This window comes from Homo sapiens, chromosome 1, assembly GCF_000001405.40.
Source record: "Homo sapiens chromosome 1, GRCh38.p14 Primary Assembly".
In the NCBI taxonomy this organism is placed as follows: domain Eukaryota; kingdom Metazoa; phylum Chordata; class Mammalia; order Primates; family Hominidae; genus Homo; species Homo sapiens.
In genome coordinates, this window is record NC_000001.11 from 120,240,875 (window position 1) to 120,268,142 (window position 27,268).

Here is a 27,268-nt window from a genome sequence, read left to right on the forward strand (position 1 = left end):
AACCCAGGAAGTGGAGGTTGCAGTGAGCCGAGATCACACCACTGCACTCCAGCCTGGGTGACAGAGCAAGACTCTGTCGGAAAAAAAAAAAAAAAACAAAAAAAACAAAAAAACTAGAAAGCATTGACTCACAAAGAAAATTGAATAATTTCTAGCATTTCACACAATTTAAGAATGAATTTATTTTCCACTTCATAATGTGGTATATTATCATTCATAATGTAGAATAACATGCTGTGGATTTACAGTGTCTTTTAAATCATTACGCCTAACCCAAAGGATGTAGACTTCCAATTTTTAACTATTATAAATAATACTTGATAAATGTCTAGGTGCATAAAGCATCTTCTTCCACAGCATTATTTTTTGAATGAGAGATGTTCAGAAGTAGAATAACTACGTCAACATTTCCAGTTCTTGAAAGTACACTGCAAATTACTTAAAGTTATAGTCCCATAAGAAGGATATTGCATTCAATTTAAATATCTTTTTCAAGACCTGAATCCCTGTATTGTAAAGGGGAAAACTGAGGCACACTGACATTAAAGTGGCATAACCTAGGTGAATCAATAGCAACATTTCCAACTTTTACCCTTCTCTGGGGTAAAATGCTTCACTGTTGCTGTTAATCTCTATTACTATCCTGAAACGTTTCCTGAAATGATAATAAACAGAAAATTTTAACATAAGAAAGTAAAAGATAGGTGTAAATTACATCAAAACTATGTATACCTATTAGGATGTCTATTACAAGGACAGAGAAAAGAGAAAATAGATGCCGTGTTTGGTTAGGGGATTATGGGCAACATCCTTTATATGCTGCTTTTAAACTAAGTCAACATAGGTTTTTATTGCAGGAAGAAGTTCACATTTGTGTCTACCAAATGACAACATGTAAAGTTTGGAATTGAGTTGGTTTTAGGTTTTTCTGTGTATCACTTGGAGGTTTTCTGTGTATAACTTTCTTGTATTACTTGGAGATTTTCAGGTTATTGGCACCACAGGAGCAGCATTATTGCCAGCAGACCCGGGGAGCTGGTTGGAGAGTCATTGCGACTTAATTTACCCTGAGCTAAAATTATTATGAGTGGGCCTTAATATACCAGTTGTTCCCACCTACACATCTAGCCTTGCCTTTGCTGGGATAAATTTGTATACCCTTCAGAGGTTAGATTCAGAAGTACCTCCTTTAGGAATTATTTTTAGAACCTAGATCTGGGTGTAGCCAGAACACGCTCTGCCTACTCTGTTGTAGCATGTAGCTAGTTGGTTAACTTGATATTTTCCATACTCCAAGTTTATCGGCAGAATGAAACGTTTTTGTCTATAAGTCTTCAGCATCTAACATTGCCTCTAGCACTTAGAAGGTCATCTATTAAGAGCTTTCCAGAGAACATTCCCCAAAAGGCCGATGGGAATATCTGTTTGGTGGGTGTCTCCTTATTGTAGAATGGATACAACAGGTTATCAAACTTGACACCATTATACATTCAGATTGTATTTATCATTGTTTAAGAAATATGTGTCTTGTTTCCTCAGTTACGGGAAAAGAAAAAAAAAGAAATACGCATCAAATTCCTATGATCTAGACTTCTTTAATGCTGGACAGACGATAGTGAATGATCTAAAAACCCTCCCTTCCAGAGACTGACATTCTAGAGGGGTCACTAGGCATGGACATACATCACTGTTATACCTTGACCTGACATAGCCTTAACTCGAATTCACTTCAGTATGCTATCAGCACAGCCATCTTTTGTAGCTCATCTTTCTTCCAGATTTTCCACCCTTAGGATCCTTAATGCTGAAATTATACTTCTTGACCACAGGTCAAGTCCCCCACTTCCTCGTTCTTTCTGAATGTTGTTTACTGCGTCATGTATTCCAGTTCCTCAACTCTCTGTATCTTCCAGGCCATCTGCTGTTTATTCACCTCCATACTGAACCTAGACGTCAGAGTCAGCTCTTTGAATCGTGTTCTCAACGCTGCTTTAGAATCTCTAACTGCCTTAACCATCTCCCGGCTTGGTAACCCTTAGTCAATTTTATTTTAAAATCCTAGAGGATTCTATGAGTGTTGTTTTAGTATGTTATAAAACCGCACTGAGAAGAAAGACTCTAGATTCATTCTTGCTAATCCTCAACAGGTCTATAATGCTGCTGAGAAATTCTCCTCCTCCTCCCACCTGCCTCTTTCTCCTGCTCCTCCTTCCCTGACTCTTTCTCTTCCTCTAAAAATATATTCCTCACAACCTTTGATTTCCGTAGTGTAAATAAAAGCAAGATGCAGAACTGTTATATTCAATATTATTTCCATTTGCAGAATTCACACAGGCAAATAAACTGAAGAACAACTAAATACATAAAAATCTTTATCAATGTTGCCTTCAGGTGGTAGAATTTTAAAAATTATTTTTATGTTTCTCTGTACACTTTTCTCTTTTCCAAAATTTCTACGAGGCATGTACTTCTTTTAAAATCATCAAAAATAGACATTGTAAAGAAAAGAAACTGAAAGATTATGTGAATATAAAAGTAGGTGGAAAGGGGAAAAAATCACCTGTTTCTTAACATTCAGTCTAGGGCTCTAGAAAGATTGAGCCAACTGCAATATACTCCAGTGCATTGTGGATATTAGTTGTTAATGAAAACTGAGGATTGTAGGGTGCATTGCCAGGACCAAAAGCAAAATGCAAAAGGTAAGTTTCAGAGGTGGGTGGAGAGACCATACACCATCCCTGGGGTAATGTGACTGAATCCAAAGCAGGTTATTTTCATGTCTTCTTTTGAAAGAGTGATACCTATGTCTTGGCTGATGCAGGGGAGGTAGAGGAAAATTTATTAGATATTTGGATATGTGATGACCTCAGAAGGTAAAGTGAGGAAAAATAACTACTTACTTATTAAGGGGTTTCTCTGAACCTTGATGATAGCATCAAGAAAGTAATGTTAGTTTCCTTATTTTCTTTAGGATGAAGACTTAGTGCTGGACCAAAAACAAAACAAAACAAAGATCCCGAAACTTAAAGAAATTGTTGTGGATGCACGATGATTTTGTAGCTCACTGTAGCTATTGGGGACTTAGCACTCCAGAAAACAGCCTCTCAGAGTGATGGTCACTGTCAGTGAATAGACTTTGAGTGAAGGGTGTAATTGCAGCCTATACTGGAATAAAGTGGATGTTTCTGTATCGGTGCCAAGTCGGCCCACACTTAGTCAGCATGCAGAAGGAGGCTCACCGTGATGCTCTCTCTCCTCTGGGAGCTTTGCCAATTAAGCATCCTCACTTGCAGAGGTTATAATGACAGATCTTGAGATGAGAAAAAATGATAATTTCACTGTATTATATAATAGTCTTAACGTTCTGCATCTGGGGCTTTTACCCTATTTGCATTTGAATATGTGTTTTTACAATTCGGGTGCCACATTGTGGGAGGGTATTTGGCAACATTTGGAACATAGAAAATATAACCAGTGTCTCTCCTTGGCAAGAGGAAAAAAAAACATCTGAGAAGTCTCAGAGCTTGTTCACTAATGCCTTTTCCACTTTGATTGTTTCTGTTTCCACCACCTTTCCCGCGTTTCAGTTTATTCCCTTGGGTAGGGACAATGCCAAGTGTTATCACGGGAGGGGTTGGAGAAAGATGTAAATATTCTGAAAAAAGTGGGTTAGAGATAGAGAAGTATAAAATGATGGATGACTCACTTTTCACGATAGGACCTATATAAAAAGTCACACTAGCCACTTCCGTTTTGGGATTTTAATTATTTTGTCACATGGCATCTGTTACACCAGTACTCAAATACTCAAGTGTAAGCTGTGCCCATCAGGGATAAGTTGATAGTCTAAGAAACAAATTTGTGTCAGGGTTTGAGACAAAATTCCCATCTCATTAGCACAGCAAACCGTCCACCCTTCCTTTCGCCTCAGCTTCTCAGGGGTGAGTTCCCTGGAGTCAAGGCAGGTACAAAGGAGGTTCCCTGTAAATGTGTGGTTAGAAATAGGGCATATTGGGAAGAGTAAAAGTTTGGAGTCAAATAGACAGTTTTCAAGTTCAGGCTCTGACACCAACTAGCTGTGCGATCTTGGGCAAATTACTTTATCCTTCCAGGCCCCTTGTTTCCTCATCTGTAAACAGGGATTGTATGACGTACTTCACAGGATTCTATGATGACTGAATGAACTGATGCCTAGAAAGTATCAGGCATTCAGTAAATTGCAGAGGCAGCATTGGTGGTGAGTGGTGATGGTTGTCCATGATAATAATATGTTCATTTAATACAAGATTAGTATTGAGGAAAATTCCAGTGCAAGAAAACCTGTGGAATTATAAAATTATGCACCAGCAGTCCAGAAATTGTTAACTGTAGATGTCTTTGTTTTTAAGTTGACACTATTTCTAAAATCTTACCATTTATAAACTGTCAGGGCCAGAGCTTCCCATATTAAAAAATAGGCCACAGTTCTTCTCATTCTGACCCTTTTGTGTTTGCCACAGTTGAATATAGCTGTAAATTAAAAATAGGAAAGATGCATCTTGGAACGTTTGAAAAATTTATTTCATTTGAAACAGAAACCAGCAACTCATGTTAAATGAGCTCCAAGAATATGGGAATTGGAACAGAATCTGCATTTGGTTCAATGCCTACTCCTGTGAGGACCCCAAGAAAGAGCAAACTTCAGCAGTCTTGCTGTCATGCCACATGCCCCTCACTGTTTGAGAGGCCACACCGAGCCGAATCCTTTCCATAGTTCATCTTTTATCAAGGTCATTAATTAGGAAGAGCAATGTAAATTCAATAAAAATAGATTATTCAAACTTTTTAAAAATAAGAATTAGCCTTTTGGCAAAAATAGTAAGAAAAAAAGGGGGAGGATGCTCAGTATATTTTCCGCCACTCTAAACCTCCAGACTTTTCATTTCTCTGGGTTCTTTTCTAGTTTGTTTCTATGGGTATTTTCACAATAGTGCAAATCTTAGCCCCTTTCTTGCTGACATTATTTTAAATCATTTTGGGGGCTTCTAAGCTATAGTGTTTGAGGAGGGAGGTGCAAATGAAGAAACATTTTCACCCTTGGCTTCCCTTCATATTCCCACCTGAGGGTGAGCGCTTGGGGAGGAAGGCTTGAGGAGGGGGAAAGGTAAACAGGAAGTTGGAAGATGTCCTAGGAGGCAGTTTAGGGCTCCTCAGGGTGGGGGGAAGATGGAGCGGGGTGGTTGGGAAGGGGAAAACAAAATGAAAGCCCCCTGAACACACCGTTCATTTTCCTATAATTGGGTCTTTGTTATGTTTCCTTGTGTATTTACACCCATCCTTTAAGACCTAGATTCAGTGTTATCTGTTTTCTGTAAATGTCCTAGACCCCTCCGCCAACCACCCTGTCCCAGCCCACTCCCCACCAGGACAAAATTAATTGCTATCTTATTTATGTTCTGAAATCTCTGTTAAATCTAATTTTTCTAATAATTATCTCTCTGAATCATGTGCCTGCTTCCCTCAATAGATTCTGAGTACTTTAACCACAGGGTATATATACTTTTTCACCTTTGTATTTCCAGTACCTGGCATAAAAGCAACTTCTCAATAAATGTTTACAAAATGGAATTATAAAAACCCTAAAAATAGCAATGAAGGCCCAGGTTTTCGCTCTAGGTATTGCTATAGCAGATTGTTTTTTCTCCTTCTGAATTTTTGTTCATAATAATAAAATATATATATATATATATAAAGAAGCTTGAAAGCTAGAAAATGCCTCTGGGAGATGGCCCTGGTCTTCAGGCTTAGAAATGTTAAGCAAGGGTGGTGGTTAGTGATGAAGTAGGAGGGCCAGACTATGTGGTTCTCAGAACAAACTAAATACATGTGATTGGCCTGAAGAGAGGGCCTGAAAATCACCATTCCTTTGGGAGTTTAGACACTCATATGGGAATAAATAACCTTAGGTTAATTATTTTAGTAGGTGAGACTGGAGAGAAGAAAGTATGGAGCCTAGACAGGCATCAGTACCTTAGAAATAGTTTTAGTGGTGATTTTGGTCCTAGAATACAAATATCTCATACTGTTCAAAGACTCATAGAACCTGCTTTGTAATGATGATTACCATCTTGTCATTGCTTTTGAATGAGATGATTCATTCATATGATCTGTTGTTCCTCTCAGTCCACAAATTAGACAGACTAAAATACAAGAAAATAATACCAGAAATAACAGTTTACGGAGGAAGGTCTATACCTGCCTTATAGAAAATATCTCTCTCTGCAGGCTCCTAAGCAAGAAGAAACCCAAGTGTCTACCCCTCCCCACAATGTTATGAGAAACTAGACTAGTGGGACCAATGAGATGCTTGAATCTTGAAAGGAGCTATATCAGTGGCCAGTTTCAAGTAAAGCAAAACTGAGTGTTTTGGATAACCCTGGCCATAAATGAAACTACCATTCTTAGAAAATTACTGGAAGAAATCATCACAGGACAGTTTGAGAATGTCAGAATATCAGGGGGTGGCAGATGGCCTTCAGAGAAGCAATTATTTCCTGATCATTCTCAACATAATCACCCTGGAAAGCCATAGAAAAACCAAGTAATATGGGATATTGAATGTTGATGTATTATTTGAGTCTAATATCTTAATAGCTACTTATCAGCAACTCAAGAAAATATGAGTGATATACCATGCAGAAATCAAGCAGGTGAACAGCTTGTGAGTAGGTTGTACTTGGAAAATGCTTGGTACTTCCAAAAGCAAAATAATGTCCTGGTGAGAATATTAATATATGTGGTTTTAGTGGAATTGGTATTGTCATTAGCAGATTGATGACGTAGGGAGAAAGACAAGGTAAGACACTGAGGAAAAATATAGTTCATTTATACAGAAAAAGCAAAATTTTAAGTGAAAGCATCATGGGAGAAAGATTATATATGGAAATGCAGGAGAGCTAAAAGTGGCCTGGTGAACCACATATTAGCTGAGCATGAGTCATTCATGGATTGATATTTTAAAAAGCTAGAGACACTTGAATTTGAGAAACTAGGACAAGGATATAAAATTTTTTTCTGAACTTGGGTAATACGAAAGAATGTACCAACATATATTACCACTTTGTGTGTGTGTGTGTGTATGTGTGTGTGTGTGTGTGTGTGTCCATGCTTGGAGTCTGTCTCTACCATACCCCAATTCTCCTTGCACTTTGGTTTATCAAATGTTGTCACAAATTGCAACCCCTTAGACTTATACTCTGTGTTTCCTCACTCTGAGCCCCTTCCCTTGGGGAGCGTCAGATTCCTTTGTAACTTGTGGAGCAGCTGAGTGAGCCCCTTTCTCTGGCAATAAGAGAGGGAACTTGAGCTGTTAATAGAGCTAAAGTGATTTCTTAAAAATCTCCTGAGACACTGCGAGTATGCTTATTAACTCAGTACCCATCTAAAGTGACCTCTCTATCCTTCCAGTTATTGATTCATATCAGGCAGGCAGTGTGCTCAGAGTGGGTGTGGGTGATGCGGGAAGGGTGAGGTGTCTGGTAGGGCTGATATGTATTGCTGTGTTGTAGCTTGCTCTTGACCTATAATGTGCAATCTGCAGAGCAGAGAAGATTGAGTGAGATCATGTCTGGAAGGTATCCTGGATCCTTGGACAGTATTAAAATGGGTTTTATGTTTAAGCATCTATTAGAATAGAGTTGCATAATTACTGCAAGGAACCTTAGAAAGTCATGTCCTTCTTTTATAAATATTAGAGAAAACTAATGCCCAGAGAGGTGAAAGTGACATGCAAGCCAATATAGTAGCTTGTTGCCACAAATTAATTAATTGTGTGTGAAGCCAATGGGTTTCTCAAGACTGTGTCTTAATAAAGCAGAAATGAAATTCTGTCTGCACTTGGTCTATACTGGGGTAACAGCATCAGAAACCTGCAAGATGCCAGGCAAGTATCATAATTAAGTGAATGAGGGACGACAAGGACAGGGAGTGGCAGGGACTGTGGCAAACTGGAAAACACATCCCTGTCCTGTGTAAAGGGGGCAAGTTCTCCCGCTGTGTGGGAAGGCAGGCCCAGTGTTGGCAGACCCACTCATTTCCCAAGAGCAGTTAGAAGTGGGTCAAACTTGTGTGGGCTAAATAAAACATGTCGGATGGGCTGAATTTGGCCCGAGGGTTGACCTTGCTCCTGACAGCAGATGCAGCCACCTTTGTCTGTGGACTAGGCAGAAATGCTCAGTGAATAGCAGCAGCTAAGTATAAATTTTTTCCCCACAGATTTTTTTAAGACATTGTTCTGGTTGATGGTTTTGACATCCTTCTCCTATTTTACCTCCACAGAGGGGAGTGCATACGTAGTACATTCCTCTTTGGCATTGTTTACTCTCAGGGAAAGCTTTTAAGGAGGAGAAGGGAAAGAGGCAGGGGGCCTGGAAGAATCACAAGCTGGTGATCTACTTTTGGATACGAAATAATTGTCAGGTGGCATGTGTAGCCCGATGTGCCCTGTCTGGTATTTTCATGTCCATCTGGGACTTAACAAAGTGAAGATTTCTGCCAAGATCCAGCCCTGAGGCAGGGAAGAAAAAACCACCAATTTCCAAGCAAATGCCAGGTCCTCCTCTGCCTCCCTGTGAATATCTTCTGGCTTTTAAAAAGAGAAGTCCTGTAGGCTGGGCGCAGTGGCTCATGCCTGTAACCTCTGCACTTTGGGAGGCCGAGGCGGGCGGATCACCTGAGGTCAGGAGTTCGAGACCAGCCTGACCAACACGGAGAAACCCCGCCTCTACTAAAAATACAAAATTAGCCGGGCATGGTGGCAGGCACCTGTAATCCCAGCTACTGGGGAGGCTGGGGCAGGAGAATCGCTTGAACCTGGGAGGCGGAGGTTGTGGTGAGCCGAGATCGTGCCATGCACTCCAGCCTGGGCAACAAAAGCAAAACTCTGTCTCAAAAAAAAAAAAAAAAAGAGAGAAAGAGAGAAGTCCTCTACATCTCTGTTTACAGAATTCTTGGGAGCCCCCAAGAGTTTAAAGAATAAGCTACCTATTGAAAGCATCTTTCTGTAGGGTTATTGAAATCATCTGTTTCTGACATCCCCATCAGACAGTCAGTTGTCAAGACAGTAGACAGTCCCCCTTTAAAACATTAGTCACTGAGTCCGTCTTTCTTTTTGATTCACAAGACTCTAGTGGCTAAATGCCTCTCCATGTCTTGAAAGGCTTCAAACAGTCTGCGCCCCCTGCCCAGTCTTCCCATTACTTCCCTGACCTCACCTCCTACTGCTCACCACGTGCTCACTGCACCCAGCCACTAACTAGCATGCTCCCTCTTATGGGCCTTTGCATTTTATGTTCTCTGCTTAGAAGACTCTTTCCCTAGAGACCCCCATGCCTGTCCTTATGGCTTCATAGAGCAGCCTTGTCTACTGAAAATTGCAATCCCCTCTACCTCCTCCTACCTCCAGCTCTCCCTATCCACATTCCCCACTTTACTTTTTTTTATAGCACTTGTTCCCAACTGCTACTATACAATTTATTTATTTGTCTCCCCTTACTGTAAAAATTCCATGAGTGCAGGGATTTTTGTCTGTTTTGCTCACTGCTACATTTGTGGAGCTTACAACAGTGCCTAAAAGCACTTGTCAAGCATGGGCTTGAGAAGTATTTGTTGAATACATTTTGAGATACTGTCCCCTCTCTGCTAGGGATGGTGGTATTTACTATGCTGAACAGATACACCTCTTGCTACTGAATCATGGTGTTATTAACATTTCCACTCATAAACTTTGTCTGTTTTTCAAGGTTTCTGTGTCAATTCTACTTTCTAAACATATCTCAAATTTTTAAAATTTCCCCTTTGTTAAACCATCACAACTTCCTATTTGGAATATAGATTCTCACCATCCATTTTTGCCCCTCCACAGTCTCACTGTGTAGAGCCAGAATGCAGCTGGAATGACCTATCTAAAATATAAATCTGATCATTACCATTCTTTCCTTAATTTAAAATCCTTCATTGATTTCCCATAGCTTTTCACATTAGACTCAGTGGCCTTACCCCATACCACAAGGTCCTGCGTGGCCTGGTTGCAACATTGGCTTTCTTTGTTCCTCTAACAGGCCAGAGTCCTTTCTGACTCAGGGCCTTTGCTGTTCTCTCATGATGGAACACTCTTCCACTCCCATTCTCCCATTCTACACCTGGTTGACATCCTCCCATCTACGTTTAAATGTTCCTTTCCCTGAGTTTCTCTGAGTCCCTGTGCTAGTTAAGTTCCCTCTGCATTTTCCTTCACAACATTTACTACAATAGTAGTTAATTCTTGTGAAATTATTTAATGGCTGGCTCTCATGTACTTATTGAGAATAGGAACTCTTCTGTGGTGTTTGCCTTTGTATCCCTAGCACTTGACACGGTCCCTGATACATAATAGAAGCTTAGTAAATACTTGCAGAGAGATAAATAGAAATGACAAATAGGTAGGTGTCTTCTCCTCGATCCCTGGGATGGGAGCCTTGTGGGGTAGTATCTCATTAATTAATGATGTGTTTGCCTCCACAGAGATTATTTTGCAGAGGATGATGGGGAGATGGTACCCAGAACGAGTCACACAGCAGGTAAGGATGCTGTGGGCCTTGCCTTGTTAAATTCTTTGTTTCTTTTGTTTATTCATTTGGTTTTCTTTTGAGACAGGGTCTCACTCTCTCACTATGGATGTAGTGCAGTGGTGTGATCATAGCTCACTGCAACCTCAAACTCCTGGGGTCAAGCTATCCTTTCACCTCAGCCTCCCGAGTAGCTGGGACTATAGACATATGCCTAATTTTTAATATTTTTTTTTAGAGGTGGGAGTCTTGCTATATTGCTCAGGCTGGTTTTGAATGTCTGACCTGAAGCAATACACCCACTCCAGCTTTCCAAAGTGTGTGAGAGAAATTGGCACTTGGCCAATTCTTGGTTTTCTATTGATCTTAATTCTCTTGAATTATGGCCTCTTTAAATTCATCATGGCAATATCTTCAAACTTTTGTGAATTTCCAAATTAGCACATACTACTGTAGCAATTTCACACGAGAATTATCAGCTAGCTATAATTCTATGTACTGAGAAGCAGCATAGTACAGTAAATCATTACAGATACTTATGTGAATTCTTCATACTTTTAACGATTCTGTAATTGCAAGGCTAAACTCACTTGTACAATGATTAAAATAAATTATGTTACTAAAATGAAATCTTTATCTTAATACACCATTAAAATGGGTATAATAGGCCGGGCATGGTGTCTCACGCCTGTAATCCCAGCACTTTAGGAGGCTGAGGCGGGCGTATCACCTGAGGTCAGGAGTTCAAGACCAGGCTAGCCAACATGGTGAAACCCCATCTCTACCAAAAATACAAAAATTAGCTAGGCATGGTGGCCCACGCCTGTAATCCCAGCTACACAGGAGGCTGAGGCAGGAGAATCTCTTGAACCCAGAAGGCAGAGGTTGCAGTGAGCTGAGATCGTGGCACTGTACTCCAGCCTGGGTGATAGAGCAGACTCAGTCTCAAAAAAAATAAAATAATAATAAAATAATAAATAAATAAAATGGGTACAATAATAATGTTAATCTCATAGGTGAGATTGAGAAAAGCTTTTAGTACAGAGGCTATCAAGGAATAAGCACTCTGTATCTTATCTATTGTTACTATTAATGTATTCCTAACAACAGCACAATTATTACTACACTAACATTAGCCAGAGATCTACCTGAATTGCAAAACCAAAGGGAAGATAATATTCTTTTGGGGTCTATTTTCCACAAAACTTGTTCTCGACCTGAGGGTTTTACTTCCTTGCTAAGTTCTTTGCCTTTTTCATAACAGCCTGGAAGCACAGATTGTTTATATGCACAATTTGGAAAAAAGTTTTTAATTTGAATAAGTTAAGAATTTCAGAGTCACTTAAAATTAGTATTTGAAATGTGTGTTAAATCCACAAATTCCAAGGGTTACTGTGCTCAACATTTTAAATGTCAATATTCTACATTTTGAGGCAAAAATTGAAGGACTAGGGCAAAAATGTGAGGGGAATGGATAAAATGCTTACTACATATAATACATGTGGCAAGGTGCTTTTATTATTTTATTTAATCCATAGAACAGTTCTATAAAGCAGATATTATTACCCCTGTTTTACAGAGGCAATATATCAGCAAAATTAAGAGATTTGCCTAAATTCCCACAATTAGCAAGTGGTCAGGATTCAAATCCAAGCCTCAAGGCATTGCTCTTTCTATCATATCCACCAATCTAACTGTAATGTATTGTTATTCTGTTTTATCAGATTATCTTCCCCTTAGTAGTATATTTAATTTCACCTAAATGTGGAAGAAATCATTTTTTCTAATTACATTTATTTATTTGTTTATTTTTGAGACAGAGTCTTGCTCTGTCACCCAGGCTGGAGTGCAGTGGTGCCGTCTCGGCTCACTGCAACCTCCACCTCCCAGGTTCAAGCAATTCTCCTGCCTCAGCCTCCCGAGTAGCTGGGATTACATGCGCTTGCCACCACGCCTGGCTAATTTTTGTAGTTTTGGTAGAGATGGGGTTTCGCCATGTTGGCCAGGCTGGTCTTGAGCTCCTAACCTCAAGTGATCCACCTGCCTCAACCACCCAAAAAACTGGGATTACAGGTGTGAGCCACCATGCCCAGCCTCTAATTACTTTTAATTAAAAATTTTGCATTTACGTATAAACATTCAGAATATCACCAAAACAGGGGCAATATCATCATAATTATTTTATTATTATTATTTGCTATCACAGAGTAGTGTACAACTAACAGAACAATTATATTGGGTAAGCTGCATGAAAAACAATTGAAGAGGGAAAAATAATATCTCCATATATATGTAATTGATTTGTACTATGCATTAATAAAGCCTGCCTTAGATTTCTGTTCTAGTTTAAACCCCGAAACAGTACCAGGCAAGGTTAGTGGCTATTGAAAATATCATTAAGGACAGGGTTATCTAAAGACACACTGGATACTACATTAATTTTGCAAAAATAAAAAGACAGTATACAGTGTTCAGTTTAAAAACAAATCATATGATCTTACATTTCAGCTTTTTTTCTTTGAAATCAGTGGTGTAATGGGGAGTTAAATACTTTTAGGCAAAAAACAAACACATACACACACACTCACACAAAAACAAATTAATAAAACAAAAGCCTCTTTTAAAACCATCCTATTGACTATCATCATTTTTTTCTTCACCCTTTTCATCTTTCTATTCACCAATGTCTTTCCAGTCCTTTTTTTCTTTTCTTCTTTTTTCTTTTTCCAGTTTTTCCAACTTCCCCTTTCCCTGCATCAGACTTTCTTTTATCCCAGAATACAGCAATAGCCTTTATATCTATAATCTTAAAAGCCTTTCTTTCCTCGAGGCTGTATATTATCTGCAGCAGTAATTCTTCATTTCTTTCATTTCTCTCAGTTTTCTTACATCATCGCCAATGAATTAGCCAAGATGTTCTCCTGTGCTCTTTTGGTGAAATTTTCAGAACAAAACAAGAAAAAGGAGATCCCTTTGGTACATTAGAATCCTGGAACTTCTTTCTTCTCTCTCTTTCTCTCTCTCGTTTCCTTGTAGACAGAATATAGATTTTTGTTTCTTTCTTATAATGGGCCTGTTCACCTTCACCCTGTCTTCAAATTTTTTCTTTCTCTTTAGCAGAAATGAATTTCCATCTTTTCTGAACATAAAAAAAAGAAGAATTCTAAGAAGTTGACTGAAGCATCTGGGTGCTTTTTCTTGGGCTCCTTCTGGCAAGTTGGCAGAACGAAGGAAAGAAGGCAGGGAAGGAGGGAGAGAGGAGGGAGGGGAGGAAGGAAGGAAGGAAGGAAGGGAGGGAGGGAGGGAGGAAGGGAGGGAGGGAGGGAGGGGGAAGGGAGGGGAGGGGAGGGAAGGAAGGAGGCAGGCAGAGAGGTGGGGGAAAAGAGAAAAAAAAAAGAAAGAGAAAGGAAGAAAGGAAGGAAGGGAGAGAGTGAGAAGGAGAGAAAGAAAAAGAGATCGGAAGAAAAGCATGCAAAGGCATTTTGCCTCTTACTCCCTTGGATCTCCTTTCCCCAAGTGTCTAGTTAACTTTTCCTCAGCCAGGCAGTCACCCAGTACCTGTTTTGCTCTTACTTGCCCTGACACTGTCTGTAGCGCTTAATGCTTTGCCATGACTGTCTTCTTATTTAAAAAATAGTTCCATAATAAAAGTTCATTATTTCCTTCTGTCAGCCAAGAAAGTATGTAGCTTTCTATGTTTTCTACCTGTCTGTAACTCCAACCCTGCCCCAACATGAGGCAGGGTTGATTTCTCATTCTTTAACAATGTTACTTCTCAAAAGCAAGCATAGGGTTAATTACAGCTTAGATTCCACTAGGTTCTCCCAAAGCAATGCTTCCATTGGTTAATGGAGTGATTGAGTCTCTGCCTCTTTACCTGTTTTCCCCACTCTCAGACCTATTGCAATCCCTTTAATTGCTAAAATAACACAGTAGTAGCATACTGCTAAGAAAGACAGATGGAGAAAATATGGCATTGGTTCTGCCACTTTTTAGCAATGTGATCTTGGTCAAGCAAACTTTCTGAATCTTTACTTATTCATCAGTAAAATGGACTTAATAATCACTTATGTCTATTTCACTGATTGCAGCGACTTCATAAATGAAATAATTCATGTGAAACTATTTTGTAACATGTAATGCCCTTTAAATATGTTGGCTGTTATAATTGTTACTATTACTAAATAGTAACCTGAAAAATTATCGGTAGAGATAGTTTGCTAGCAGCTTGGTTCTTTCCTTTAGACTGTTTTGGTTACCTTTTGTTATGTGACAAACCATCCCAAAACTTAGTGACTTAAAACAGGGGTCAGCAGCAAACTACAGCCCATGAGCCAACAGTCAGTTTTTATAAGTAAAGATTTATAGCCACACAGTGACACTCATTCATTTACACATGGTCTGTGTCTCCTCTGTGTTACAGGGTAGAGTTGAGTACCTGTGCCAGAGATGATATGACCCACAAGCCTAAAACACTGTCTGGTCCTTTAAGAAAATGTCTGCCCACACCTGGCTTAAAACAACAATGATTTATTATTTCTCACAATTCTGTTTTGGCAAACTGGGCATTATCGCTGCTGGTCTCACTTGGGATCACTCAACTGGCTGCAACTTTCTGATGACTTGACTGAGACTGAAGGTCTCAGACAGCCTTGCTCACATGTCTGGCAGGTGGTGACTGTCAGCTGGGGCATCTTCACTTCCCTGAACAGCCTTTCCTTCTCCAGTGGGGTAGACTGACTTCTTCACAGCATGGTTGTCTTGGGATGCTAATAAGGCAAGAGCAGAAATGCAAGGCCTCTCAAAGCTAGTCTCTGGAACTCATACAGTAGCATTTATATCATATTCTGCCAGTCAAGGCAAGCCACTTTGCCAACCCAGATTCAAGAGTTGGGGAAATAGGCTCTACTTCTTAATGGCAGGAGTATCACATTGCAAAGGCCTATGGACCCAAACTAGTTTGATTCACTGGGGATGGCTATTAATATGATCTACCACAGACTACTTTAAGTAAACTGTTTCTATGTGGCCTAGATTGAGTTTGTATTTTGCAGAAACTGAATTCTGCTGGAATGTGCCAGTTAGAATGATCCTAGTGCTGTTATTATATAAACCTTTTTTGTTGTTGTTCTGTTTCATTGACAGCTTTTCTTAGTGACACTAAAGATCGAGGCCCTCCAGTGCAGTCACAGATCTGGAGAAGTGGTGAAAAGGTCCCGTTTGTGCAGACATATTCCTTGAGAGCATTTGAGAAACCCCCTCAGGTACAGACCCAGGCTATTCGAGACTTTGAGAAGGTAAGTCATGTGAGTGGATAATTGTTATCCCAATTAGAAGCAGTACTATGGAATAGTGATGCCTGATAAAAATATGACCCATGGATTGGTCCGGATTATGGATGGTATTATCATTATGGTGTCTCTTTCAAGAGCATGTCCCAATAAACATATGCTCTGTCAGCTGTGTGCTGGGGGGTGTGGTTATGGACCCTTGCCTGTACAGCAGTCCCTCCTTTGGATGCCTCAAACTGCATAGTACTGAACCCTATATTTACTATGTCTTTTTCTATACATACATACTTAGGATAAAGTTTAATTTATAAATTAAATGTTAATGAGGCTAACAGTAGTTAATAATAACATAGAACAATTATAACAATATACCAGCATTACTACTCTTGCACTTTTACATTGTTAAGTAAAATAGGAGTTACTTGAACACAAGCGCTGTGATACTGCAACAATCTGATAACCCAGACAGTACTGAGTGACTAACTGGTGGGCGATATATACAGCCTGGATGTGCTGGACAAAGGGATGATTCAAGGGTGAGATAGAGTGGATGGCACGAGATTTCATCATGCTGCTCAGAACAATGTGCAATTTAAAATTTATGAGTTGTTCATTTCTAGAATTTTCTATTTAACATTTTCAGACTGTGGTTGACTGTGGGTAACTGACACCATGGAAAGCAAAACTGTGGATAAGGGGGGACTAACTGTACCAGTAAATGCTGCCTCATCACCTACACCCTTGGTTTACTTCTCAGATAAACTCAGGAAGTTTAAATGGCATTCTGAGAATCTGTAGCTGCAACATAGTGAGCCCAGGAGTCCCGGTCCAGCAGCTAGTATTAAATTCTCTGTTGCTAGCTTGGACCTCTCTCGATATCTAGGAATTGTCTGCAGTGTGCGGTGGCACAGTAACAACCATTTGTTTCTCAACAAGAATCTGATAATGTTGCTTGAACCTCCTGAACCAGTGCTGCATGCTCTGCTTCTTCATATGTTTGTCCTTAGATTTGACCAAAAACAATAACTGATAATGTAATACAGATTCCCCAGCTCCCTGTGAGCTGGGTTGAGCCCAGGAAGTCTGTACAAGAGAGCATGTCTACTGGGATTTAAATAGCCCAGAAACAGGCAGCCGGAATTTCTTACACGCTTGTGCTCTAAAAAAAAAAAAAAAAAGGAAGAAAGAAATAGCTCTTTGGTGCCCCCTCAGGGATACCCAGCAAGCAGGTCCCACATAAATAATGTGTAAATAGTCTGTGAGATACTGGGGTTTCTCTCATTCTGGAATTGGAATTGATAACTTTTGACAGAAAAAAAAAAGTAAAATTCTAATCTCAAAAAATTTTGTGTTGACATGGGTTTACCCCATCTTCCCTCAATTTGTAAGTAGAAATATTTCACCAATACTTTCTGTACATCCTACCAGATATTTCTGTGGGCAAAGGATATGCACCATATAACATGTGCCTAAGAATTAACAGCCTATTCTTCAAATTTTATGCTTAGCATTCTCATGTATACTGTGTGTATGTTTTTTTTAAGACATGGAGAGTTTGCATGGTAATCAAGAGGCTTTTGAAGACTAAACCTCCAAACAGCTGTGTGGTGCTGGTGGGGGAAGCAAGGATGCTAACACCTCAACCCCTTCCTTTTTTTGTTTTTTTTTTCACCTTTTGGATCTGCTGTGATGCAGAAAGGGCAAGCAGAGCTGCAGAGCTCCTCAAAACTGTGTGGGGTGCTCTCCAAAGGCGAGCCAGCCTGCATGTTCCTTTTCATTGAGAGATGACTGGAAATATAGAAATGAGGGGTGTCACCTCCATTGAAAGAATGGGTGGCAGATATAAGGCCCAAAGTCCTTTTCTTTTAGAGTTTAGATCTAATATGACAGATTAGTCCTTATTTCTCGATGCTGGGAAACACTGACAGAAACCAAGCTAAGACGCAGGGAAAAGGCCAATAAGAGATAGTTTAAATCTCTCTCTGCTATGTGTCAAATAAAAAGTAAATAAAGAGGCTACAACCCACTTCAGGCTTGATCAGAAAGTCATTGCCGGTAAATCATGCAGTGTTGTGTCACACGTTTGTTCATTTTCATATCCATTCATCCATCCTGTGGACTCTGAATGACAGCACCTAAAATACAAAACGCCTCCATGAAAGGGTTTAAAAATTAGAGAAAACATTGGTTAGAAAAAATATAGGAGAGATAGGAACACATTCCTATGCCCTACCCTAAAAATGGTAAAATACTAAATAACATGGTATTTTCTGTAAAGTTTAAAATATGCATTCGATAGCCTTGGGATATAGGATAGGTAGCAGTACTCAGAGAGAGGAAGGGACATGCTAAATGTTTTTTGCCAAAGTAGGGTCGACTCCTCCAGGGCTTAAAGACAAAGGGATACAGGCCTGGAAGAAGCAGCCAGGAATCCCTTCTTATTTCATTTATCCATGCAACAAACACATGATCACATTAAATGAGATACTTTAGTTCCTGCCCTTAGATAGTTATAGTCTATTTGGAAGTACAGACATTGCATTAAATACAATATAGCATGGCAAGTGCTTTCATAGAGATAAGGACAGTACACTCTGAGATCTTGAGAGAAAATGTCTACTTTTATTAAAGGAGTAGGGAAAGGCCTCTTACCAGAGGACATTTCTCCTGGGGGCTTCACGTTGAGCAGGGTCTCCAAAGCTGAGTTAGATTTTACTAGTCAGAGAAGTAGAGTATAATATTCCAGACAGAGGGGAGATTTGGGGGAAGAAAGAGAGATATGTTCAAATAAGAGACTGGACTATAGAGAGGTAAGAAAAAGAGAGTTAGAACAGGAGAGAAGTAATATTAAAAGTACTCAATCTGTCAAAAGTAATTATAATTGTTCAGTAATGCAGTTACCTCTAAAATGTTTGCTGATGTAGGAAATTCTAGAGAAAAAAGGCCCTTTGATTACAGGGAAAGAGATAACAGACTAAAAATGCAAATACTGGCACATTATGGAACCAAAACATAATTAGTCAATTAACAAGCGAAAATGACAATTATCATTTATGTTGGTGTAGAAAAAAGGGACAAAGAAAGCAACATTTCCAACATACAACAGTGTTTCTTTTCTTTCATTCTCCACCCACAACCAACAGCATGGTTGTATGTGTATACAAACTCCAATTGTATGTTTGTCAGGTTGAGGTCAATAGGTATTACACTCCATGATGAAAGGAGGGCATTGCTTAGCATATATGCTTCATTTGTATTTTTGAATGAGTGAGTGATTTAATTAATTTCCCAACCTTACCAACTTCGTTATGTAGGCGCTTTTCCCCACTCAGAGAATCCACTGATGAAGGGATTCTCTGTGGGTTTAGTGTATTGAGCAGTGGGTTTAGTGTATTGAGCAGTGGGTTTAGTGTATTGAGCAGTGGGTTAAGTGTATCTCATAAGTTGTTTTATTTTGTCTTTATAAGACACAGAACAAGCATCACTCTCCCCATTTTTTAAGTGAGGGAACCAGGACTCACGGAAATTGTGACTTTTTCAGGGCCATAAGTTTATGTACCATGATCACAAATCTGAACACATTATTGGATCAGAAATAAATTTTACCTACAAATGGTCACAATGATGTGTTGAGAAAAATCCCTTGCCCTATGCTTTCTCACTGATCACAGCACCCAGCTGCAGCATCTCTGGAATGAGCAAGACTTCAGCAGCACATACTTAATACTGGCTAGCATTTGATGATCACTTTCTATGTGGCAGATATTGCTCTAAGTATGTGACAGCATGATCTCATTTACAACAACCTTGTGAAAAGGCATGTTCACCAGTTAGAATGGCGATCATTAAAAATCAGGAAACAACAGGTGCTGGAGAGGATGTGGAGACATAGGAACGCTTTTACACTGCTGGTGGGAGTGTAAATTAGTTCAACCATTATAAAAGACAGTGTGACAATTCTTCAAGGATCTAGAACTAGAAATACCATTTGACCCAGCAATCCCATTACTGGGTATATACCCAAAGGATTATAAATCATTCTACTATAAAGACACATGCACACGTATGTTTATTGCAGCACTATTAACAATGGCAAAGACTTGGAACCAACCCAAATGCCCATTAATGTTAGAATGGATAAAGAAAATGTGGCACATATACGCCATGGAATACTATGCAGCCATAAAAAAAGAATGAGTTCATGTCCTTTGCAGGGACGTGGATGAAGCTGAAAACCATCATTCTCAGCAAACTAACACAGGAACAGAAAACCAAACACCCTATGTTCTCACACATAAATGGGAGTTGACTAATGAGAACACATGGACACAGGGAGGGGATCATCACGCACAGGGGCCTGTCAGGGGCTGTGGGGCAAGGTGAGGGATAATATTAGGAGAAATACCTAATATAGATGACGGGTTGATGGGTGCGGCAAACCAACATGGCACACGTATACTGTGCAACAAACCTGCACGTTCTGCACATGTATCCCAGAACTTCAAATATAATAAAAAAAAGAAAAGCCATGATTATTATTCCAGTTTACAAATGATGAACTAATGGCAAAAAGAATAACAAAGGAACTTGCCCAATAACTCATGATTGAGCCTGAAAACACCTGATGTCTTTGTGACCTAAAGATAGTGGGCATGTCCTATGTTGGGGAACTCAGCTGGTGAAAGTTTGGTGCTAATGAAGGTGTTGGCTTATTTGGAAATGGAATCACTAGTTCCTCCTATTTAGATTGATGCAGATTGAAATTCTACCAGATTCCTGCCTCTCTAGGTAAACTGTAAATCCACTTTTGTCTTCCAATATTCTCTATTACATGATTTTTACTCTATTAATTCTGAACTGCTTGCAATTCAAAGCTGTTTCATACTTTCATTTATTTGTACCTGCTGTTCCCTCTGCCTTGAAAACCTTTTCTCTCCTATTGTTTATTTGGTTAAAGTTTACTCATCCTTCAAGATTCAGCTCAGGTGCCTTTTTAAATTTATTTATTTTTTAATTTTAGGATGCCTTCTCTTACTCTCTAATCCCAGAATATATACCAAGACTCTAAGCTCCTTGAGGGCAGAAAACACCTCTTGCCCATTCTTTTCTAGTCTCTAGAATATAGCATGATGTAGTACATAGTAAGTGCTCAGTAAATATTCATCAACTAAACTAGCTGAAAAGTATTAAAAATTAGATATCCTATTGGATTTGTATCTCTTCTGCCTCTACCTGGTATTCACAATAAGTTGAACAGTTTTAAGGAGGGTATTGGTGTGTTAATTGATTGGGTAGGATGGGAAACTAGGAAGTCAAGAAATGTACATTTCTTTTCCACTTTATTTTTTTATTGTTCATTTTTTTTGAGAAGGAGTCTTGCTGTGTCACCCAGGCTGGAGTGCAGTGGTGCAATCTCAGCTCACTGCAGCCTCTGCCTCCTGGATTCAAGCAGTTCTCCTGCCTGAGTAGCTGGGACTACAGGCTCCCGCCACCACACCCGGCTAATGTTTTGCATTTTTAGTAGAGATGGAGTTCCGCTATGTTGGTCAGGCTGGTCTCCAAATCCTGGCCTCAAGTGGTCCACCCTCCTTGGCCTCCCAAAGTGCTGGAATTTCAGGCGCGAACTACGCGCCTGGCCTCTTTTCCACTTTAAATGGAACGATAAAACTAAAAATGAAAAGGACGGGAGAGAAAGAGTCTTTTTGAAATAATATTTGACAGGATTTATTAAGAAGATCACAATAGTAGCTAATAACAATAAATACTATTTGAGTGCTCATTATGCACCAGGTACTTTTCTAGATATTTGACATATTTAATTTAGTGTATTTTCAGTTCATTTTCCTAACTTATGAGATAGATATTATTTTTACAACCATTATACTAGTGAAGAGATCAAGGTTCAAATAACTTGCCCAAAGTTATATAAGAATAAAGTAACGGAACCACTGTAACTCCAATGATTCCAAAGCTCTTGGGGAAATGAAAGGACTCTCAGAGAAGGAGAGCATTACATTGGTGGAATGCCTGCATTTGGGTTTTTTACATAGAATCAACATGGCAGACGGTACAGAAAAGCCACGGAAGGGTGGGAGTCTTTGGCTATAAAATCAAGAGGGGGCCTCCACTGCCCTGTCCTGTTTACACATTTTTCTAATAATGTTGTCTTTAACAAGAAAATATCATCAAAACCAGCTATAGTGTATGCCTAACTGTACTCTGCAGCTTTCCTTGGCAGTCTGAATCTAACCGCAGTGAGTCAGCCTGTTCAGGTCCCACCCATCCTGGTGAACTTTTCCACTTGAATCTTGAAGTCTTTGGGGAGAAAAAAGAAGAAAAAAAGTGCTAAAAGCAGAAGGCTTTTTCATTTTGGGGAGTTTCTGGAGCTCTGAGTTATCACAGTCTGGGTAACCTGTGCTAATTTAGGTTAATTGGGGTCCTGTCACTGCCCTCTTTATGTTCCACAATTTTGGTGCTTCTCGAGTGTTTCTCTCTAATTACAGCCTTGGAAAATGAATACTACTAGTGAAGTGCATTTTTATTTTAAAAAAATGCATTCATTCTTCCAAACCACAGTGTCCCAAACATACTGGTTTTGTTTTCACTGGTATCTTAAGACATTCAAAAAGTTACTAGGAGGCAGGGGGTAAATATTAAACTTTCAGCAATCACAAGTGCAGTTTGTTTTCCCTTTTCAATCTCATGTTTAAAAAGGGAAACAGAAGGCTTCCACACACAGGCATTCCACAGACTTTCCATGCAAAGTTTTCTTTCCTAAGCAACATTACCAAAGATATGAATCAAATCAATTACTTTTTTTCTTATAGAACTACAGAGTAAAAGGAATGCTTCTGAGTGCTGTAGAATATACAAAGATGGACATGAGATTCCATTCTCAAAGAATGTACAATCTGATTGGGGCATAAAAAAATTTAAATTATACAAGATTTAATTTAAATAACATCTAAGGCAATATTGAAAGAGATATTTCAAGATGGGAGTACTTGCCAAACTAATGTATGTTTTTAAAACTTAAATATGGCGAGGTGTGGTGATCATGCCTGTAATTGCAGCACTTTGGGAGGCTGAGGTGAGCGAATCACCTGAGGTCAGGAGTTCGAGACTAGCCTGGCTAACATGGTGAAACCCCATCTCCATTAAAAATACAAAAATTAGCTAGGCATGGTGGCACACGCCTGTAATCCCAGTTACTCAGGAGGCTGAGGGAGGAGAAGCGCTTGAACCCAGAGGTCAGAGGTTGCAGTAAGCCGAGATCGAGCCACTGCACTCCAGCCTGGGCGACAAAGCGAGACTCTGCCTCAAATAAATAAATAAATCTTAAATACTGGGATAGAACATTTTTTCTAATTTGTGCACGCGTGTGTGCGTGTGTAAACTTTTCAAAGTTGTAAATATTAGCTTACATTTGGTCATGCAATTAATAAAGAAACTTTATCAAAAAGAATGAAATTACAAAAGTTGGACAACCCTGAACATTCTGAAAGGTATGATTACCAACACAGAAAAGAGAGCAACCACTTTCACAGAGAATGTAGCACTTGAATTAGAATAATTCTTTTCGTAATTTTAAATTATCTCCTTTCTGTCTCCTCATTAAAACTTGTTTTCTTCTCTTCTCCCGTTGTTCGAAGAGAAGCCTTATCTTTCTTTCTGTGGACTTTGCAAAGTTTCCATTCTAATGATAATTTCCATTCCAATACTAAATTTAAAAAATAGCAACAAAGATCATGATACCAATTAATATTTGTAAGTGCTTACAGTGTGCCAAGTTCTGAGAATGCGCTTGACCTTATTATCTTATTCAGTTCTCCTAATAGTCTTTTGAGGTTGGTACAACCATTGTCTTTGTTTGTAGAGAGACACTGAAGCTAGGAAAACACTAGTAATTGATGGCAAGTGCTGGAGCTGGGATTTGGACATAAGTGTACTGGTTCTAGTGCCTAAACTCTTAGCCACAATTTTATTATGCTTACTGATAGCTGACCCCCTTATTCATTTGTTTGTTAATCCACTCATCCATTTATGAGTGCATCGTGTGTGCCAGGCCATGTTCTAGCTGTTAGTTGCACAATGATCAAGAATGAATGTATGAAAATATGTATTTTCGGCCGGGCGTGGTGGCTCACACCTGTAATTCCAGCACTTTAGGAGGCTGAGGCAGGCGGATCACCTGAGGTCAGGAGTTCGAGACCAGCCTGGCCAACATGGTAAAACCCTGTCTCTCCTAAAAATACAAAAATTAGCCAGGTGTGGTGGTGCACACCTGTAATCCCAGCTACTCAGGAGGCTGAGGCAGGAGAATCGCTTGAACCCAGGAGGCAGAGGTTGCACTGAGCCGAGATTGCCACTGTACTCCAGCCTGGGTGACAGAGCTAGACTCCGTCTCAAAAAAAACAAAAAAAAGAAAATGTATGTTCAAGGATGAGTGTTTATATTTCAGTATTCTCTATACCAATACAATATTAGTACTCAAGGTGAGGATTATTTCAAGTGTGGAATATATATACAATAGAACATTATAGAGCAATGTACTGACTTGGGAGGATGTCCATTATAACAAATTTAAGATTAAACAAAACAACGGCAACAACAATTTGACTGAATATTACAAAAAATAAGATCTCATTTTTGAGGGAGAAAAGATGGAAATGTCTGGAAGGATACATACCAAAACATTGATATTGATTATGTCTGGATGATGGAATTAGCCTATTGCCTTCTTTATAACTGAGTATTATATTTATTTTAATTATCTATTCATTGAAAAAATATTCTAGTGTGTTTACTATGTGCAGCATACCTTAAGCATTGCAGATACAATATTGAATAGGCAAACATGGTTCCTGCCTTCATAGAGTCTACAGATTAGCAAATTCCAACAGAATGTAATTATTATTGTAATAGAAGTAAAGAGTGCTATGGAATATATAACTGGGCACTTACTCAATCTGAAGAGATTGGGGGATTCAGGGAAAGTTTCCTAGAGGAAACTGCATCTAACCAGGGTCCTGAAGAAGGAATAAGAAGTAGCCACTAATAAGGGGGTGGTAGTGTGAGAATGAAGAATGTTCCATGCATAGGAAATAGCTTGAATCAAGATCCCGATGAGAGAAAGAACCATAGTCAGTATTCCTAGAGAATGGGATGTAAGGAATGCAGAGAACTGAAACCAGAGAAAAGAGAGAGGAGTCATCATACAGAGTCTTGCAAGTTATGTAAAGGCTTTTAAATTTTATCTGAGCTCAAGGGAACTGCTGAAAGCTTTTAGACAGAGAGGTGACATGATCAGATTTTCCTCTTAGAAAGATCCTTTTGGCTTCCTTATGGCCTCTGCATAGGAGGAGTAGTCTAGAGGCAGAGAAAACAGTTGCAGTATTCCAGGCAAAGGTTGCTGGAGATGCCAGTATAAAAATTAGAGAAATGGACAGGTGAAAGAAATTTCAGAGGCAGAATTGATAGAGCTAAGCCATTGACTGGATGTAGAACCAGTGAGGCTGAAGAAACCCAAAGATGACTGATCACCAATTCATCTCTTCACTCACATCCTACCCACTGTCACCTTGTCGTAAACTTCCAGACTACCTTCACCTCTCTCTTCAATAACGTGAGTTATTTGTTCAAAGTCTGCCTTTTCTGTTAGAACATGAGCTCACTATAGCAGGGACAGTGGTTGTCTTTTCACTTCTAGATACAGTGATTAGCATAATGCCTGGTACATAGTAGGCATGCCCTTTTCTTTTCTTCTTTTTTGTTTGTTTTGAACGAATAAATGATGTCAAGTTTTCTTGCTTGGTCAACTACTAGGTTATGCCCTCCACTGAGAAAGAGAACAACTGGAACAGGCACATGTAGTACTTTTATGACCATTGAAGCAACAGCAACACAAACAAAAAACAGTAAAGCGATTTCTGTTTTTGGAAGAAAAGTAAAGAAGATTCTTCCTGTTGTTAAGGAACTCCAGATCTACTGGGGAGAGAGTCAAACAGATAATCCCAATATACTGTGAAATGGGCCACAATAAGAGTAGGTCCGCAGTGCTGTGGAAGCATTCAGGAGAAGCCCTTGCCCAGGCATTAGGGCCAGATAGGTTTCTTTTAGTAGGTAATATCTGACTTAGATCCTTATGGGTGAGTTGGGATTAGTTAAGTGAGAGATGGGTGGGAATTAAAGAGAAGTGAAATTCTAGGCTAATGCTGCTACCCATGCAAAGTCCTGGAGGCAGCATGAGCCTGGTGAATTCAGAAATAGGAGGCTTTCTGTCATGGATGGAGCAAGGGAGGGTCAATCGGGGTTCATGTTGGCTCTATCTTTTCCCTTATCCCCCTACTTCTGGTCAAGGCATTATTGTTGCAGCCATGGGCATTCATGGTATCACTGTGGACTCTTGGTTTTTGGTTTTGTTTATTATTTTTTTTTTTTTAGACATGGTCTTGCTCTGTCATCCAGACTTGAGTGCAGTGGCACAATCTTGGCTCACTGCAGCCTCGACCTCCCGGATTCAAGTGATCCCCCACCTCAGCTTCCTGAGTAGCTGGGACTACAAGAACATACCATCACGCCTGGATAATTTTGACTTTTTAAAACTTTATTTTATTTATTTATTTGAGATGGAGTTTCACTCTTGTTGCGCAGGCTGGAGTGCAATGGCGTGATCTCCACTCACTGCAACCTCTGCCTTTCGGGTTCAAGCGATTCTCCTGCCTCAGCCTCCTGAGTAGCTGGGATAACAGGCATGTGCCACCACACTGGCAAACTTTGTATTTTTTGTAGAGACGGGGTTTCTCCATGTTGGTCAGGCTGGTCTCGAACTCCTGACCTCAGGTGATCCACCCACCTTGGCCTCCCTAAGTGCCACTGCGCCTGGCCTGTTTTTTTATTTTTTGTAGAGATGGGGTCTCACTGTGTTGCCCAGGCTGGTTTCAAGCTCCTAGCCTCAAGCAATCCTCCTGCCTTGGCCTCTCAAAGTGTTGGGATTGGCATCTCAAAGTGTTTGAGCCACCACACCTGGCAACTCTTAGCTCTTGTGGCCAGAGCAGGTCGTAGTCATGCCTTCAAAATTGCCTTCACTCCTAGAAAAAAATGGAGAAAGGATTATTTAAAATCTAGAGAAAAAGGTGAGCCCATAAGTCACTCTCTCTGAATTCCAGAAGCTCAGCAAATAATCTGAGTTGGACCAATTGTGAACAAATACCAAGTCCTGCTGATGTTGATTGGACCAAAGTGATGGAGAATCTAGTTTGGAGTCTGGTAATCCTTGGGAGGCCCCAGCATCACTGCAGCTCAACTGTCATTCCTGCCTTGCAGCTCATTTAACTGCCTCTGGCAGCACTGTTTCTGGCTGGGCCATCTATTTTTGGTGGCCAGGGAAGTTGT

The 27,268-nt window shown here is 39.7% G+C and overlaps 1 pseudogene; it reads left to right on the plus strand.

The window, feature by feature from the left end:
* The window catches only part of LOC100996723 (uncharacterized), a 123,106-nt pseudogene that overhangs the window by 43,861 nt on the left and 51,977 nt on the right, over positions 1-27,268 (plus strand).